The sequence below is a fragment of the Homo sapiens genome, chromosome 2 (genome assembly GCF_000001405.40).
Source record: "Homo sapiens chromosome 2, GRCh38.p14 Primary Assembly".
In the NCBI taxonomy this organism is placed as follows: Eukaryota; Metazoa; Chordata; class Mammalia; order Primates; family Hominidae; genus Homo; species Homo sapiens.
In genome coordinates this window covers 215,951,859-215,970,555 of record NC_000002.12, presented here as the reverse complement: position 1 = coordinate 215,970,555, position 18,697 = coordinate 215,951,859, and the positions used below count along the sequence as shown (strand labels likewise).

The 18,697-nt window shown below is 42.5% G+C and overlaps 1 protein-coding gene across 9 annotated transcripts in view; it reads left to right on the top strand.

The window, feature by feature from the left end:
* The window catches only part of MREG (melanoregulin), a 94,789-nt gene that overhangs the window by 63,541 nt on the left and 12,551 nt on the right, over window positions 1-18,697 (top strand). For 4 of the 9 annotated variants that reach the window (XR_001738843.2, XR_001738842.2, XR_922965.2 and 1 more), the window contains exon 3: window positions 9,298-9,447. The exons of the other annotated variants lie outside the window; for them this stretch is intronic. Coding sequence is in view for 1 of the 4 variants with exons in the window: in NM_001372188.1 (NP_001359117.1) it covers window positions 9,298-9,447 (150 nt within the window). In the remaining 3 variants the exon portion in view is untranslated. The remainder of the gene's footprint in view (window positions 1-9,297; window positions 9,448-18,697) is intronic. 9 annotated transcript variants of the gene reach the window in all.

The window sequence follows — 18,697 nt, the reverse complement described above, 5'->3', positions numbered from 1 at the left end:
TAGAGAGGCTTGAGTCACAGTCCTTTGATGCAGAAGTCTCAAAGTAGAAAAACTCATATTTCATGGATGGCTCTGTTTATTTGATTCATCTTGTGAATTCAAAATGGAAAATACATTCATTTGGTGGGTGTATTGGTTTGCTGGGGCTGCTGTTCCAAAGTACCATAAACTGGGTGGCTTAAACAACAGAAATTTGTTCTCTCACAGTTCTGGGGGCAAGAAGTCTGAGATGAAGGGTTGGTTCCTGCTGAGGGCTCTGAGGGAAGGATGTTCTCCAGGCCCCCATCCTTGGCTTGGAGGTGGCTGTCTTCTCCCTGTATCTTTGTTGTCTTCCTGTGCATGTGTCTCTATCTAAATTTCCCCTTCTTATTGGGAAAGCAGTTGTACTGGATTAGGGCCCACCAGAATAACCTCATTTTAACTCGATTACTTCTGTAAAGAGATTGTGTCTAAATAAGGTCACATTCTGAGGTACTGGGGCTTAGGATTCAACATACCAATTTTGCGGGGAGTCAATTTAACCCATAATGATAGGCATGCAATTGATAAAATAAAAAATGTAGGCCATGGTGAGAATTTTTAACTCTATCCTAAGAGGGATGGTGAATGCTTTCTAACTAAATGAGTAGAAAACACTTCTTTGTCCCTTTGCAAGGTTTTTTCTTTCCCTCTGAACCCGCTAACTCCCAGCCTGGGAAGCTTACAAAGGGAGTCCTAAGTAGGCCTAGCTTTAACTGCCCCCCACCCCTCCATGACCTCCATATTGGGAGACAGTTCTCCCTGGGTCTGCTGGTCTCTGCACATGTTGTAAGTAGAGTCATCGTCTGCCCTTTGTTCTGGACTGTCTTTTCAAGGATGCTTATATAATGCGTGGCCTTGGGAGGTGGACATACTGTCTCCCTCTGGCACAAAGGGCAGGCAGGATTATTGCCCGTTATAAAAGATTCAGGTTCCCTAAGTTCAGGGTTTCTCCTCTGTAATGCAACCTACTGTATACACATCATTTGTTTTTCTCTGCCTTACAATATGGAAACGGGCACTCAAGAGAAATGGCATAAAAATGCTGATCCAGGAATCTCGTTTCTTTTGCCAGCACCCATGAAATTGGCAGGAGAACTTGTTAGCTTGTAAAGGGGGTGAAATCTCAGATGCTTTACAGTTCTTGACACACTTAAAATAACTTCTGTACTGGCATTGTGGTTCAGATGTTGATCATGGGTCAGTGCTTTGGCATAAGTCTGTGGTTTTTAAGCTTTTTTATGTTATCTCTGGAACTCTTCCCTCAAATGAAATCCACCAGGAAACTAATACAATTAAAGCTTCTCTGGGTGAATGACATAGGGGTAGAAGCCTAGATTTCTCCATCTTAGGCAGCTCCCGAGACATCTTTGGAGAAGCTGCCCAATTTCAAAAACATTGTGTTGGGCTACTAAAGGCCCCTTTAAAACTCAAATCTGATGTCTGGGAAGAATAACACATTAAATTCTTATCAGACAATGCCAGGTGCAGTGGCTCACGCCTGTAATCCCAGCACTTTGGGAGGCTAAGGCAGGAGGATTGCTTGAGCTCAGGAGTTTGAGACCAGTCTGAGCAACATAGCAAGACCTCATCTCTACTAAAAATAAAAACAAAATTAGCCAGGCGTGGTGGTGTGCACCCTTAGCTCCAGCTACTCTGGAGGCTGAGGCGGGAAGATTGCTTGAGCTTCAGAGGTTGAGGCTGCAGTGAGCCATGATTGCACCACTGTACTCTAGCCTGGGTGACAGAGTGAGGCCCTGTCTCAAAGAAAAAGTTCTAATGAGACAGATTAATTATGTTTAGCAAAAAATTAAGTTACCAATTACTCATAGGTCAGCACAAATTAGTTTTTCAAAGGACTGGGCTCCAGGACTAGTAAGTTTTGATTGTAGGCTACAGAGGGGAAGCTTGTAAGAGGGAACACTGCATCAGTAGGCCCTGGGCGTAGGGCAGGGCTGAGAGGTAGAGGAGGGGAGTGCTAGAACTGAGAGGTGCTAAGAGATAGTAGATGGTAATGAAAATCACTTTCGAACTACTTGATTTCTGTGATCATCAGGATCCCTTCAAGCTGTCCCATGAGCTTTGGGTGGGGCCAGGCAGAGGGAGAGAGGCACCTTTCTTTCATGTGTATTTTATGTTGGGGTTCTGTTGTGAGGCAACATTTGAAAAAATCACTATCCTGCCGAAGCAAGATTAAAAGCTCATCTTTTTTACTCTGTTACCTGATGCTGTGGTAATGAGTGGTGAAAAGTAAAACAGATGCTTGTTCCCTAGAGCACAAGAGGAAGGTGACTCAGCAGAAGGGGTTCCTGGGGTTTGGGCCTAACTCTACTACTGTCTTCTGACTCTACTGTGAATTTGCTGTGTGACCTTTGGCTGACCACTCAACCTCTCTGGGCCTGTTTTCTCATCTAACAGAAGGGATACCTCCTTCTGGAGACATGATTTCAAAAAGTCCTCATATTTAAAGGCTGATGTGCTGTGAAGAGGTGATGTAGCTTTTAACCCCCAAAACATTAAATATTGGATTCTTATGTGTTTGCATCTTAAGCTGCTAGACCTCATTCATGCCAGACCTCATTCATGCCCTTTGAGGAAGATGCATGCACTGGGCCTGAAGTGGAAGTTGTGGGCATTTTTGAGAGTAAAATGGGTGGATTTGATTCCTCCTGCTACATTTCCCTTCACACTTAGGACTCACTATGACACATGGGCCAAATCCAGTTTGCTGCCTATTTATAAATAAAGTTTTATTGGAACACAGTCGTGCCCATGAGGTTACATACTGACTATGGCTGCTTTTTTGCTACTAATGATGTCTCACACAGAACCCCAACATAAAATACACATAAAAAGTTTGCTGGCCTCTACTTAAGGCCACTTGGTGCTCAGTAGGCTTGGCGCAAATGACTGTGTGGATTTAATTTTTCATACAAAAAGGACACATGAGCAGCCTCTTTAAGGAAGACTTCTTATACCCCCTGATTTATGATACTTTGGAAGAAGAGATTCTCTTTAGAGATTGAGAGAATCTTCTAGCTTTTTCATTTATGGGTATAAAACATTTTTCATTTACTGGTGATTTCTTTCTTTTGAAAAATGGCTAAACAGTGCTCTATTATGTGAGATTAGTCTAAGTGAAAAAATGCACTATAATTTTCAAATATATTAAAATGCACCCTGTCTTGGACTAGTGCCACTCTGCTATTTTCCTTTCATATTCTGGGGTTTTAAATTCACAGGAAATGTTTTAATGGCTTTATCTGAAGCCTATCATGTTGACAAAGAGGCAGGCAGATGACTGACAAGGTAAAGGTCTCAGAAACTGGGAATGGCTGCAGAATTCATGATCCAAAAGGCAGCTTCGTGACTGGCTTGGTGAGGAGTCATTCATATGTCTATAATAACGAGGAAAGACTGGGGTAATTATAAACAAATATGTTAACCAGTTTTTCCAGACAATCCCAGGACTGCTTCAGTTTAAGTGATTATTTTGCCTGAGGCTTTTGGCATCAGCGTTTGTAAGAGTAAACCCCAACACTTGAGTCAGGGAGGCAGAATCTGTAGGCTCAGTTAAAGATTATGGGGGTGTAAAAATGGACAGTGAATGGGATACTAGAATTGTAATGGAAAATGTTTGCCAGGTGCAGTGGCTCATGCCTGTAATCCCAGCATTTTGGGAGGCCAAGGTGGTAGGATCACGAGGTCAGGAGTTCGAGACCAGCCTGACCAACATGGCGAAACCTCGTCTCTACTAAAAATACAAAAATTAGCCAGGCGTGGTGGCACACGCCTATAATCCCAGCTACTTGGGAGGCTGAGGCAGGAGAATTGCTTGAACCTGGGAGGCAGAGGTTGCAGTGAGCCGAGATCGTGCCACTGCACTCCAGCCAGGATGACAGAGTGAGACTCCATCTCAAAAAAAAAAAAAAAAAAGGGAAAATGTTTTACAAGGCTTGAACTTAAGTAATAATTCTCAGCTGTTAAAGGAACCCTATTGCCATTGACAAGCACAACATACTGCCCCTTTTATTAAAGTGTCAGTGTGACCAGGTTTGTTTGTGGGGACACAGTGTGCTCTAGATGTGCTTGGGGTGATTAGGGAAGTGGTTTAGTTTGTGGCTGTAAGTCTTAAAAAAAGAATATAGGTAATTTGAGAAGAACTGGGGTAGGTCATGAAAAATATGGAAAAATTAGAAAGTAGAAATCAAGCTATGGAAGTGGGGCGGGATGAGCAAAACCCATTGTCAAATCAGATCCACGCGGATCATGAATTTTACCCATCATTAAGCTTTACTAATAATTCCGAAGAGGCAGGCTATTGAGAGGCTCAGATAAAGCAGAGAGAGGTCTGGGGCATTGAGGATGTCTCCCTGGGACCCCCTCTCCCTCCCTAGACCTGTCCCTCTGATTCACAATACTAAATGGGTCTAAGTAAGGTGTACAGTGCAAAGCTTTTAAGTTTTAAAAGAACTCCATTTGATACCCCTCATTATTTTGTTGGCTACATGACATTTTCCAGGGAGCCACGCCTCAAAGATTTTGGGTATTGCAATTCTAAGAAATCCTCTGGCCAGAGACATCCTTCTAAGGGCATTCAGTAGACAAGGTTTTTCCTCCTAGCAAAGATCATTCCTCTCATTACCTGGAGGTGCAATTGATGAGAAATTAGATTGGTTCACCTGCCTTCATTCCTTTTTTCCTGGGATCATTCATCTCTTCTCACCACCAAGTCCCCTACTCCCTTTAGGTCAATGAATGGATCACAGCCCTGCTGCTTAAACTTCTTCCTCCTAGGGAGTAAAGGTAAAAAAGGACTGTAATTGTTCAGTGTCAAGCAGAGATAAACAACTTGACAGCTTGCAAACAAAGGAAGAGCAAATGTAAGGTAGGGTTCATGGTGATAGGTATCCTGGAGGAATAATTAGGAAAGGGTTGACCACTACAACAAGAAGCTTTTGGGCTAAAGAATGAGAAACTGTCAGATTTCTAGGATTGTTGGTTTTTCTAAAAAAGCACATTTTAACTTTCTAATTTCTTCTCTTCCTTCCTCCCTCTGTATCCCCTGCCTATCTCTGCTGAATGTTCTCCCCTATCCCACAAGATGACCTCAACTCTGCTGGGGCTCCTGTCCTTGTCGTCACCTTGTTCTTGCTGTCGCCATGCTCCCTGTCTGCCTTCTCCCCTTTGAGGCTGGCGAGATCCTGGAATACAGAGTCAATGCCCCACAGAAGCAACAGTGTTTTCAGCTGAATACTGGGACATGCACAGGAACCTGCAAATGTATCAATAGGATTTTCAATTTAACAAAATTCTTTGAAATCAGATGAGTTATGGCCTGTGAGTTGCCATCTGAAACATAGCAAATACCTTTTAAAATAAATTTAAGTTATAGTCATACTCAGACCTAGACTTTTCCATTTTTGAGCTAATTAGATGCTAGATTAGGTTTACAAAGGAAGCTTTAAAAATAATCATTCTTAGGGATTTTAAAGTTTCTGTTCTGATTATAAAAGAAGTATGTGAGCATTGTGGAAAATTTGAAAAGTACAGGAGAAAAAAAGTCACTCACATGTAATCCTAGCCAAGATAAATACTATCGTACTATTTTATTGCATTTTGCTTCTGGTATTTTAAAAAGAGATATCTGTCTGTCTATCTATCTATCTATCTATCTATCTATCTATCTATCTATCTGTCTGTCTGTCTAGATTCTTAGAACTGGAATTCTTGGGTTAAAGATTTTGCCCATTTTTATATGCTTTGATACATCCTGACAAATAGTTTTCACAGAAAGTGACAGAAATTTTATAACTCAATCATAATACAAAATAGCCCCTTTCACTAGACCCTCTCCAGCACTGGACAATTTCATTTTATTTTTGATAGATAATTTGGCTAGACAACAATAGCAACACAGTGTTCATTGTTTGAGAATTTCTTTGGTTATTATAGGGTGGATATTATGCCTTAATTGATTTTTTTGTGAATTATCTCAATGTCTTTTGCTCATTAGTGTGATTTTCTGTTCTTTTCTTTCTTTCTTTCTTTTTTTTGAGACAGAGTCTTACTGTCATCCAGGCTAGCGTGCGGTGGTGTAATCTTGGCTCACTGCAACCTCCACTTCCTGGGTTCAAGCGATTCTGGTGCCTCGGCCTCCTGAGTAGCTGGGACTACAGATGTGTGCCTCCATGCCAAGCTAATTTTTGTATTTTTAGTAGAGACAGGGTTTCACCATGTTGGCCAGGCTGGTCTTGAACTCTTGACCTCTAGTGATCCACCTGCCTCTGCCTCCCAAAGTGCTGAGATTACAGGTGTGGGCCACCACACCTGGCCTGACTTTCTTTCTATATTAACCCCTTGGTATATTTGTATCAAATGCTTTTTCTGGTATATTGCTTGCCATTTTATTGTGGTTTTTTCCCCTAACTGTATAAAGGCTTCAAAATTTTACTAGTGAAGTTTATTTTTTCTGTTGTCTTGGAAGTCTTTTAAAAGTAATGAGACGTGTCTAAGTGTAGCTATCAGTTAAGTGAGATTATGGGTGTGAAAACATTTTTGTAAACTGAAAGGCACTATTATTTCCTTCCCGTCACATATAAAAGTTTCAAATTTGTATTTAGTCAAATGTATTTATCTTTTTTCTTGTCTTAGAGGTCTTTTCAAAGCAATGATGTTTGTCTAGGTGTAGTTATCAGTTAATGAATTATGGGTATGAAAGCATTTTTGTAAACTGAAAGACACGCTTCAAATAAAGGACTAAAAGGGGGATGAATCTTCACCTCCACTACCACCTGGAGGATCTACACAAGAGTGTTTTCTGGTGGTATTAGGCTAAAAAGACATTCCTTTGCAAGTTTTGCCATACTTTAAAATTAAACAATTGAGTATAATGTTGTGTGGATCAGCACTGCCCAATAAAAATACAATGCAAGTCATATAAGTCATTTTAAATTTTCTAGTAGCCACATTAAAAAAGTAAAAATAAATAGGTGAAATTAAATTTAATAGTCTTATTTAATCAGTTATATAACAAAATTATCATTTCAACACGTAATCAATATAAAAACTCTGTTTTTTTGTTTTTTTTTTTTTTTTTTTTGAGATGGGTTCTCACTCTATCACTCAGGCTGGAGTACAGTGGCATGATCACGATCTCGGCCTACTGCAATCTCCGCCTCCCAGGCTCAAGCCATCCTCACACCTCAGCCTCCTGAGTAGCTGGGACTACAGTATTTTTGGTAGAGGCGGGGTTTTCACCATGTTGCCCAGGCTGGTCTGAACTCCTGAGATCAAGTGATCCATCCGCCTCGGCCTTCCACAGTGCTGGGATTACAGGTGCAAGCCACGTCACCTGGCCAATATAAAAACTCTTAATGACAAATTGTACATTCTTTTTCTTTTTCTTTTGAGACAGGGTCTCGCTCTGTCACCCAGACTGGAGTGCAGTGGCGTGATCACAGCTCACTGCAGCCTTGACCTCCCAGCCTCAAGCAATCCTCCTACCTCAGCCACCTGAGAAGCTGGGGCTACAGGTGTGCACAACTATGCCTTTTGTATATTTTGTAGGGACAAAGTTTTGCCACATTTCCCAGGCTGGTCTCAAACTCCTGGGCTCAAGCAATCCATCTGCTTTGGCCTCCCAAATTGCTGGGATTACAAGCGTGAGCCACCATGCTTGGCCCTTTTTTCTTAAGTCTTCAAAAATCTGATGTGTATTTTACCCTTACCGCCCATCTCAGTTTGGATCAGCTACGTTGAGGTGCTCAGTAGCCACGTGTGGCTATTGGCTGCTGTATTGGACAACACAGGTCTGGATGTGGAGGGATAGCAAGATCTTTGAGATGTTTTCTCTACTCTGGATTCAGAGTTCAGTCTAAATTTGGGTCACGACTTTGAAGAAGTGGCCTTTCTCAATGGTACATGCTTAAACTAATTGAACGAATTGGCTATTTCTGCCTTGTTAGAAATGTAAGTCTTCTTTTTCTATCCACGGGCAGGAATTTAGTCATATTATCCTTTGTCTTTGCTGTGACTAATTATCTTTCTTCCTTGCAGAGCCCCAGAACTCGGAGGTGGTTCCAACTAGTTGATTAGGAATAACAATATCACATGGAAAATGGCAAGCCCCACCCCTCCCCTGACAGCATTAGCAAAATCTCATCCTGAGTTTTGCTCTTTTAACCCTAAACTGTACGTGAGGTGGGAGCCCCCAAATTAAACAAAACTAGCTCGAATCTTATTGCTTAGTGGCACCTTCCTGTGGCTTTGCAGACTTACTTGGGCAGCAGGAGCTGTGAGCTCTCCCTTGGCTTAATCTGGTTAAAACCAGGATAAAGAATTAGGTCAGGGGCCTCTGGCTGCAAAGCAGTCTGTTTCCAGAACTCAAGTGGAGCCGTGGAATAAAAATAAATAGAATTGGAAAAGCATTACTCAGCCTTCGCATTTGACCTGTTCTAGGTCAAAACTCTAGCTCGGATTCAGAGTCAAAACAGTTGAGCATTGCAAAGAGTGGTGGGACTGCATTAGTAACCAGGCTATGGATGTGCCTGTCTAAGGTGCTCTAAGCAGTAACTCCAAGGTGTGATTTGGGGTTTGAGGCTCCGCATGGTATATAGAGATGAACTGACCCCAAATTTCACTTTATTAATCTTTTAAGTATCAGAGCATCTGGGGTGGGAACTTAGGGCCTGGTGATGGGAGCAGCAGGTGGTCCTAGGCCTAGGGGGATCGTGAACTTGACTAAGACCCAGTTTTTCCTGGGATTCAGTGAAAGGGCAAGTAGATAGCTCTGGGTCAAAAAGGAGGAGAGGCTGGGTGTGGTGGCTTATGCCTGTAATCCCCGCACTTTGGGAGGCTGAGGCAGGCAGATCATTTGAGGTCAGGAGTTCAAGACCAGCCTGGCCAACGTGATGAAACCCCATCTCTATTATAAAATACAAAAATTAGACGGGCATGGTGGTGGGCACCTGTAATCTCAGCTACTAGGGAGGCTGAGGCAGGCGAATCGCTTGAACCCGGGAGACGGAGGTTGCGGTGAGCCAACATTGCGCCACTGCACTCCAGCCTGGGCGACAGAGCAAGACACTGTCTCAAAAAAAACAAAAAAGGCGGGGGGCCTGCATGTGAATCTGATACCTAGAAGCTAGTTCTCATCTCACTGAATGGGTAGGTCTAATGAGGCATGGAGAGAGATACCTACATCCGAGTTTGACCTGCCCAGCCAAAAAGGCTCATTTTCATCAGCTCTGTTTACCAACAGACAAACCTTTCTTAAAGGGAGTGCTCCAGAGTGGTGAGACATCCAAGCTAAAGCATAAAGCCAACCATTGTTGGGAGTTATTGACGGCCCCTCTAAGTCTTGAAGGTGCCAGACCGCTGGGCACAGGCCTCTCCTGGCCTCCACCCCCTGCCAACCGCTACTCCAAGGTTAGTCCAGTCTTTTGCCTATCCTCTCAGTCACTATGTTTCTTTGCTGTGTCATTTGATCCTTTTCCATTTGGGCTGAGGTTAGGGCAGACAGTTAATGAGTGCACCAGCTGTCTAGGAACAGTGAAATACAGTCTTCTCTTTTTCGCTTGCATACCATGCCTGGTAGATGCAGAGAGTCAGCTTTTGTAGTGCCGGAAGAGGGTGCCCTCCTTGACACCGTCCAGGCCCAGGTGCTTTTTTAATTTTATTTTATTATTATTTTTTATTTTTTTGTGATGGAGTCTCGCCCTGTCGCCCAGGCTGGAGTGCAGTGGCCCGATCTCAACTCACTGCAAGCTCTGCCTTCCAGGTTCACGCCATTCTCCTGCCTCAGCCTCCCAAGTAGGTGGGACTACAGGTGCCCGCCACCATGCCTGGCTAATTTTTGTATTTTTAGTAGAGACGGGGTTTCACCATGTTAGCCAGAATGGTCTCGATCTCCTGACCTTGTGATCCGCCCGCCTCAGCCTCCCAAAGTGCTGGGATTACAGGCATGAGCCACCGTGCCCAGCCCAAATATCTTAATTATATAAACCTGCCTTGTTCAGAATTCACATGGATTATAGCCCAAGTGGCTTTTTCCAGTAAAATTTAGTGCAGCTTTCTATATTCACAATAGGCACTCGAGCACAGCCAGAACTTGGCTTTTACATGCATCATCATGTGCAGTGCAGTTCAGCAGCCCCACTGGAGGACCTGCTGTGTACAAAGCACTGGTTAGGACCTGGGCGAATCCCGGTTCTTGTGGTCAGGTAGCCTATACTCTGGTGATAAAGGAGACATTATAGATACCTATTGTATAAGAGTATCTTGGCTGGGCACGGTGGCTTACGCCTGTAATCCCAGCACTTTGGGAGGCCAAGGCGGGCGGATCGTGAGGTCAGGAGTTCGAGATCATCCTGGCTAACATGGTGAAACCACATCTCTACTAAAAATACAAAAAATTAGCTGGGCATGGTGGCATGCACCTGTAGTCCCAACTACTCGGGAGGCTGAGGCAGGAGAACAGCATGAACCCAGGAAGCAGAGCTTGCAGTGAGCCGAGATCACGCCACTGCACTCCAGCCTGTGCGACAGAGCGAGACTCCGTCTCAAAAAAAAAAAAGGAGTATCTATACAGTCAGTAACTCTACAACAATTTTCGTAAAGGAACTGAGGAAGTTCAAAGGAAGCAGCAGTTTACTTTCAATTGGTAAGAACAGCAGACTTCTCAGAGGTGGTGGCATTTGAGCTGAGCCTTGAAGGGTGAGTAGGATTTAGATCACAGAGGAAGGAGGCCATGAATGAACATGGTCGAGGCATGCAGGTTCATTCAAGGTGTGCCGGAGGATAGAGTGGTGTTCCCAAGTGTCAGAGGCAGACTCTGTGTGGAGGGCTGTCATTGGGAACAAGACCAGAAAGGTCAGATCATGGGTAACCTTCTTGGGATTGAAACTGTATTCAGTAAGCGGTATGGAACAACTGAAGTTTTCAGGGAGGGAAGTGACCCAATCTCATCTTTGGAAGACAGCAGGTTGGGAGAAGATTGGAGAATTTAGCTTGTGGAAGCAGAGGAACAAGTTTCTGCAGGCATTCAGGCCAATTAAGGCAGAAAAGAGTAAGAATCTTGTGCAGAGGGAAAATCAACAAGCTGAGGTGGCTGGCTTAGATTTGGAAGATGGGATTAAGGGAGTGAGCAGCAGTTGACAAAGTTGGGAACATAAGGTGGAAGGGTGACTTAGGATGATGGAGTCTGATTGGGCTCATCCACATGTCAGCAGCCCGTCCACTTGGACACATCCAGCAGAAAGGTGGAAACTGAGACCTGGAGCCAAGGCTTGAGGTGACGACTAAAGTAAGAGACTTAGGAGTCACTAGAGAGAAGTAATGACAAGAGAAATTGAGGCATTAGGGGAAATTATCTAGGGAGATAGAGGTGAGAAAAAGACCTAAGACAGAGACTTAGGAAAGGACTGCAAAGGAAGAGATGAAGGAAGAGGAACCAGCAGAGGGAAGAGAGCTGAGAGTGAGGGGGATCAGCTGGAGGATGTGCTTTAGAGGCAGCAGATCCTGAATCCCAGAGCTCCTCTTGACTTAGACTCTAGGCAGGATATTGTTGCTTTCCTCCCCAGAATAGGGATACTAATACCCACCTCACAGGGTGGTGGGGGACTTACTACCCATGGCACTCAGTGGGCACTTAATAAATGCTCATCTCCTTTTCCCTTTCCCATAGAAACCTAGAAAGCATGTTAAGAAGGGTATGGCCATCAGGATTAAATGCTTTAGAGGCGGTGAGGATCTTTGGAAAGGACTATAAGACTCCCCTAAATCAGGTCACTAGTGGGATGGGGAGGAAGTATTAATACCTTAGCCCTTTCCCTAGAGAGCAGGCCTGAAGAAGGCAGATTGCTGGGGGCTGGTGATCAGGGGATAGGAGGAAGTGAGAAGAGCAATGGAGGCTCCCAGTCTAAGCCATTTGTCAGTGAAGGGAGGGATGCAGAATGAACTGGAGCTTGAGGAGGTCAAGGAGTTCATTAAGGGCAGAGCGCTGTGGCTGCTTGCATCAGTGCAGCCAGCTGCCCTATGAAGAGACGTGAGCTCGTTTCTTGCAGAATCCTTTTTCTCTTGGGTTTGGCAAATACAGTCATACATTTGGATGTTTGTTAAAATGTGCAGCTAATTAACTCTGGGAGGAAGAGGCCCATCATGTGAGTGAGTGAAACTGGTTTGCTGCACGAACTCTGAAGAGGACTTGGCTGGGTTCTGAATCAGGAGTTCTTTTATTTTATTTATTTATTTATTTATTTATTTATTTTTATTTTATTATTATTATACTTTAAGTTTTAGGGTACATGTGCACAACGTGCAGGTTTGTTACATATGTATACATGTGCCATGTTGGTGTGCTGCACCCATTAACTTGTCATTTAGCATTAGGTATATCTCCTAATGCTATCCCTCCCCCCTCCCTCCACCCCACAACAGTCCCCGGTGTGTGATGTCCCCCTTCCTGTGTCCATGTGTTCTCATTGTTCATTTCCCACCTACGAGTGAGAACGTGCGGTGTTTGGTTTTTTGTCCTTGCGATAGTTTGCTGAGAATGATGGTTTCCAGCTTCAGCCATGTCCCTACAAAGGACATGAGCTCATCATTTTTTATGGCTGCGTAGTATTCCATGGTGTATATATGCCACATTTTCTTAATCCAGTCTATCATTGTTGGACATTTGGGTTGGTTCCAAGTCTTTGCTATTGTGAATAGTTTTAAAGCTGTAATCTCACAAGCATGGGGGAAGAAGGGGGCACGCTGTCCAGGGAAGTTTCCAAGGAGAGGCTTCCTTTTGAGATGAGAGCTGGGGGAAGGAAGTGGGAAGAGCCAAGGAGGTACCTTAGGTAAGTCTTCCTGGGGATTTCTCAGTCCGGAAGCCTGAAACCTCCTTTCAGAAAAGTATCAGGGAGTCTCACAGCCCTCCCTGCTGCAGACAAGCACAGCTCAGCCCCAAATATTTACCTTCTCTCCTCAGTCCTTAGAATCTCAGACCTCTGTGGCTCCTGCCCGCCTCCTCTCTTTCTTCCTCTTGAGGGGAATGGTTTACCTTCGTCAAACTCCTTGAGAGATGAAGTGGGGACAAAGTGGAGAGGAGAGTGTGGGGGAGGGAGGGATGGGAAAAGTAGGAGGGGCTGGAGGGTCCTGCCACTGGCTCTGAGGAGGAAGAGGAGCACTGAAGTACCCAGAGGAAGCACCAAGGTGGTGTGTCCTGTGAATCCACCCTTCGGAAAAAGAACATCTTTGGGTTTGGCAGCATCCTGTGCTGGATGTGGGGAATCCTCTGCTTCTAGAAAAGTTCTGTTTTCTCCCCAGATTTCAATTGTGTTTTCCTAGTTCCTCCTCAGGCATAGCTGCTGTGGCTTCAGGTTGGTCTTTTCTTGAATGGGTTGCTTTTTCTCTATTTTTTCTACTTTTTTTCCTTCCTTCCTCCCTTGCCCACCCTCTCCCGTCCTGTTCTAACAGGCAGTGTGGATGGTGGCTCAATGTGTCAGCCGCACAACCAGACTGTCTGGGTTTCAAATCCCAGCTTTTCACTTACCTGCTGTGTGTGCTTGGGGAAGTTACTTCAGTCTCAGTTTCCTCATCTTAAGATGGATTATAAGGGTATCCGTCTCATAGGGTAACACAGCCCTCCCCAACTGGAACACTGAAGTATAATTTCTATACTTTATACAGAAACACACTGTATGATTTTTAGACCATGTATGGTGGCTCATCCCTGTAATCCCAACACTTTGGGAGGCCAAGGCGGGAGGATCACTTGATCCCAGGAGTTTGAGACTAGCCTGGGTAACATAGTGAGACCTCATCTCTACAAAAAATAAACAAAATTAGCTGGATGTGGTGATGCACACCTGTAGTCCTAACAACTCGGGAGGCTGAAGCAGGAGGATTGCTTGAGTTTGGGAGGTCGAGGCTGCAGTGAGCCATGATCATGCCACTGCACTCCAGCCTGGGCAACAGAGTGAGATACTATCTCAAAAACAACAACAAACAACACCAAAAGAAATGTACTATAAAATTTTTAATTTCTAGAAATTTAATTTCTACAGGCTCTTTTGATATATATATTATTTTCTGTATCACCTACCTGACAAAACCCAAAAAGGATTTAAAGGCATCTGCAAAAAAGGGCAGATAGATCATTGATAGATTAGATAGGTAGGTAGGAAGGTAGGTAGGTAGATAGATAGATAGATGTAATATTTACAGAGTATTTACTATTTTCTAGGTACCACTCTTATCTCTTTACATATATTAACTCAGTTAATCCTCAGGAATGCCACATTTTGGGTAGATTTGGAACATTTGGTTTTCCAAGGCCTCAGCCTTTCTTTCACATGAACTGCTGTGTAGGCTGATCCCTGGATCTGCTGCTTTGGCTGTGTTGATTTTTTTCGACCTAAAAGTAGGATGTATTTTTATTTATTCCTAATAAATTTTGGCCTTTATATTGTACCTCACAGGCTTTATTTGTTATACGTTTGACATTATGATTCCATGTACTAGTAATCCTTTCTACTTTTGTGATCTTTGACTTCATCGAGTCACTGATAAAAATCAGCTCCAAAATTGAGCCCCACGGTGCATTACTGGAGACCTTTCTCCAGACTGACATCAACAGTTCTGTGTACTCTTCAGTAGCGGCAGAACTATCCTAGTCTGTATTATCTATTTCACATTTCTCTGTGAAAGACAAACGTGAGAGGATTTCTTAGATGCTGGTGATAATCCAGATTCCCACCGTGTATTATATGTCTTTCTCCACCTTATCTGATATTTCCTACTACCTACAAAATGACAGAAAACTAAACTGGAGAAGCAGTCAATACATTTTTTTCTATCTTTTAGATAATCCCTCTTCATTTTAAGTAGAAGCAGCATAAGATGATGTCAATTGGTGCGAACTGAAAGGAAAGAGACAACAGTCATCGTATTCAAAGAATTCATTTTGCCAAGAAGCTGCCACTTCCAAGGAAAAGTATTTAACTACTCTAATTTTTAGTCTGTGATTTAGATGTATTTAATTTTTGTAATGCAGTGTTGTCATTGTCCTAGCAGCATGGCATATTCTTTTAGTTTGCTGTTTGAGTTGAAATGAAAATTCCCAAAGGGTGGTATATAGTGCATGAATCCACGTGGGAGCTTAATGCTTTTCAACAGTGATATTGGAAAGAATGACTAGGAAGCGAAAAATCTTAAGGAATGTTCAAGTTTTAAGGCACATGCAGGAATATATTGTAATATGGGGGGGCATTTTCTACAAAACAAATATGTTTATTATTCCATTTCTGTCTATACTAAATGGTAAAAAAGTCAAAGAGCCCAAATCTTACATTTTTGACACAGGCTGATTGCTAAAACATATTATTAAGTGAAAAGTGCAAGGTATAATATGCTACTGTTTATAGGGAAAATGCTGATAAAATTGGTAACATTAATTACCTGTGGAGAGAACACTAGTGACTGGGGGACAGAGCCTTTAGTACTTTTTGAATCATATAAATGTATTACCTTAACAAATAATGAATGTGGCCAGGTGAGGTGGCTCACGCCTGTAATCCTAGAACTTGGGGAGGCCAAGGTGGGCGGATCACCTGAGGTCAGGCGTTCGAGACCAGCCTGACCAACATGATGAGACTGCATCTCTACTAAAAATACAAAATTAGCTGGGCATTGTGGTGCGTGCCTGTAATCCCAGCTACTCAGGAGGCTGAGGCAGGAGAATTGCTTGAACCCGGGAGGCGGAGGTTGCAGTGAGCAGAGATCGTGCCATTGCACCCCAGCCTGGGCAACAAGAGTGAAACTCCTTCTCTAAAAAAAAAAAAATAAAATAGTGAATGCATAAGAAAAAAGAAGCATAATTTGAGGAAACAACAATAGTCATTCTTTTCTGTTTCTTCTTTTTTATAGAGTCTGTGGGCTTTGGAATTCGATGCACTTAGATTTGAGTTCTGGCTTAGCTGCTGTTTGCGGTTGGGCATGGGGCAAGTTACATAACTTCACCAGAGTGTCATCTATAACATTTGAGCAATACTCTTCTGGTTGTTTTGTGTGTGTGTGTGTGTGTGTGTGTGTGTGTGTGTGTGTTGTACACAGATCAAATACAATAAGGATCATTTTAGCCTGAGTATGAACATCTTCCTCTGAAGATGGTTTTTCACCATCCAAGAAAGACAAAAGACAAGGTCATCTTAATGGTTGGTCTTCAGATTGTGAAAAGATTTTAGCTCAAAGTTTTTAATCAAAAGTGAACTTTGAACTGGTCATTAGATCCAGCCAAAAGGATTCAACCTGTCTTCATAAGAGAGTTGAATGGTTAAGCCAATCATAGTTAGACACTTCTTGCTTGGATCTTTGGAAGAAATTAGCCAATTAGATGTAAGCCACCTCTTTCCTTTGTTATAGCAACATCTCATGAGAGTCAGAGGCTTTGCTCTGCTGGACAGAATTCAGGGGAGGCACCATAAAGTAAGCCCTGGCTACAGACAAGGGCTGCTGTTATATCTGTGTCATTGCCTAAGACACTTCTGGGACAGAAAGATTGGGATCTGGGCAGAGCCATTAACACTGCATCCACTGTAAGCCCTATCTATTCCCTGCTAGATAAATCTATGCACTGAAAATTTTTCCTGGAGGCAAGGGTGGGAAAATATGAAACTAATATTTTGTGTGGTATCTATATTGTCCTTTATATACTCAATGAGTGGGCTTTACAACATGAGTGTTTCCAATGCAAGGGCCAGAAAAAGAACTCCAGTTGTTTAAACCCAAATGGAATTGGCTAAGACAACAGAGTTCCTGAAGTAGGTCTGACTTCAGATGAGAATTGACCCAGAGTCTCAGGATATCCATAGGCTCTATATCTCTGTGATTCTTTCAACTTTGTTCTCTGTTACTTATTGCTTAATCTGGCTCTTCTCAGGCTAGTCAAAGTGATGAGAGCATTTCCAGATTTTGCACCTTCATATCACATTGTGCAGGAGAAGAGAAAACACCATTCCTGATTGCTCCAGAAGCTTCATGGATTTCACTGCCTCTCTTTTGGCTTGAGTTGGGTAATGTGCCCATCGCTGAACCAATAGGTTATGCTAGTTGGCTTAGGTCATTGGATCACAAACCTGGAACCCCTTCAAGGGATTCTGATGTCATTGGTCTGGGAAGTGGATCCCATGCATGGCTATTTTAAAACACTCCCTGGGTGATTCTAATATACAGCCAAAAATGAGTTTATTGGCATAAGCCAATCAGTGTCCACTCTGAGAGCTAAGACTATAACTGTTCTGCAAGGGAAAGTCTGAGTGTACTTAATAGATTGATGGGAGAAGGGGATAACAGATGTTGGCAAAGAAAACATCATATTACTTGTGGCAAACATATTAGCTGCCCCGGTGTTCATGCCCTTTGTTTCTTCCTTGCCATCAGAATCCAGCTTTTGTTTGGGCAGCAAGGTGCCAACCTTAAGGGATGAATCATGGTTGGTCCAAAGTGCTATTGATAATCTGCTTCCTCACTTTTCCAGCCTCCCTTGCAATGAGATAGGAGAGAGAGAGGGGGAGAGAGAGAAAGAGAGAGCACACGTGTGCACAGAGGAAAAGCTAAGTTACTCTTTATTCATAGAGGGAGTACAAGGAAGTTTAAAGTTAACATATGAGAAATTGGAAGTATAAGCGTATTCTTGGAGTTATGGAAGTAGCTATCAGAAAAAGAAGAGGAAATGTTCAACAATAGCTATCTCTGAGGAATTAGACTGGAAGAAGAGGATTAAATGAAAAATGAAAACCTCTGGTTTTCATTTTGTATCTTTCTGTTCTCTTTGATATTTTATTTCTATGTGATTATATTATTTTTATAATTAAAAATAAATTGATCTCTTTTGAAGTTGTTGCTAAGAGTTTAAGATGGTTTAAAATATATGTAAATTATTGTTAGAACATATTTCTTTAAGTGTATAAGTCCCCTTTTTTATAAGAAATAAAAAGTACTTTTAAACAATCCCATTTATCTACAAACTCAGTAATACAGATGAGAATCAGATGTTGTGTTTTAATTTTAAAATATTTAATTGACAAGTGAAAATTATATATATTCAAGATATACAACATGAAGCTTTGATATACATATACATTGTGTGGTGATTGCCGCAGTCAAATTAATTAACACATCCATTACCGTCTGTGTGTGTGTGTGCGCGTTCACGTGTGCAGTAACGACACTTAAAATCATATTGAATTCCAAGTAAGCAATACAGTATTATTAACTATAGTCACCATATATACACTATGGGGATGTATATCTGTACCCCCATGTTCATTGCAGCATGATTCACAATAGCCAAGATATGGAAACAACTTAAGTGTTTATGGATGAATGAATGGATAAAGATAATTTGGTAAATATATTGCAATGGAATGCTATTCAGTCTTAACAAAGAAGGAAATCCTGCCACTTGTGACGACATGGATGAACCTAGAGGTCATTGTGTTGAGTGCAATAAGCCAAGCGCAGAGAGACAATTACTGCATGATCTCACTTATATGTGGAATCTAAAAAAGTCAAACCCGTAGAAGCAGAGTAGAACAGTCGTTGCCAGGGGATAGAGGGTGGGGGAAATGGGGAAATGCTGGTTAAAGAATCAAATGTTGTTTTAGTTTTATGCATGAGAAAGTGATCTGAG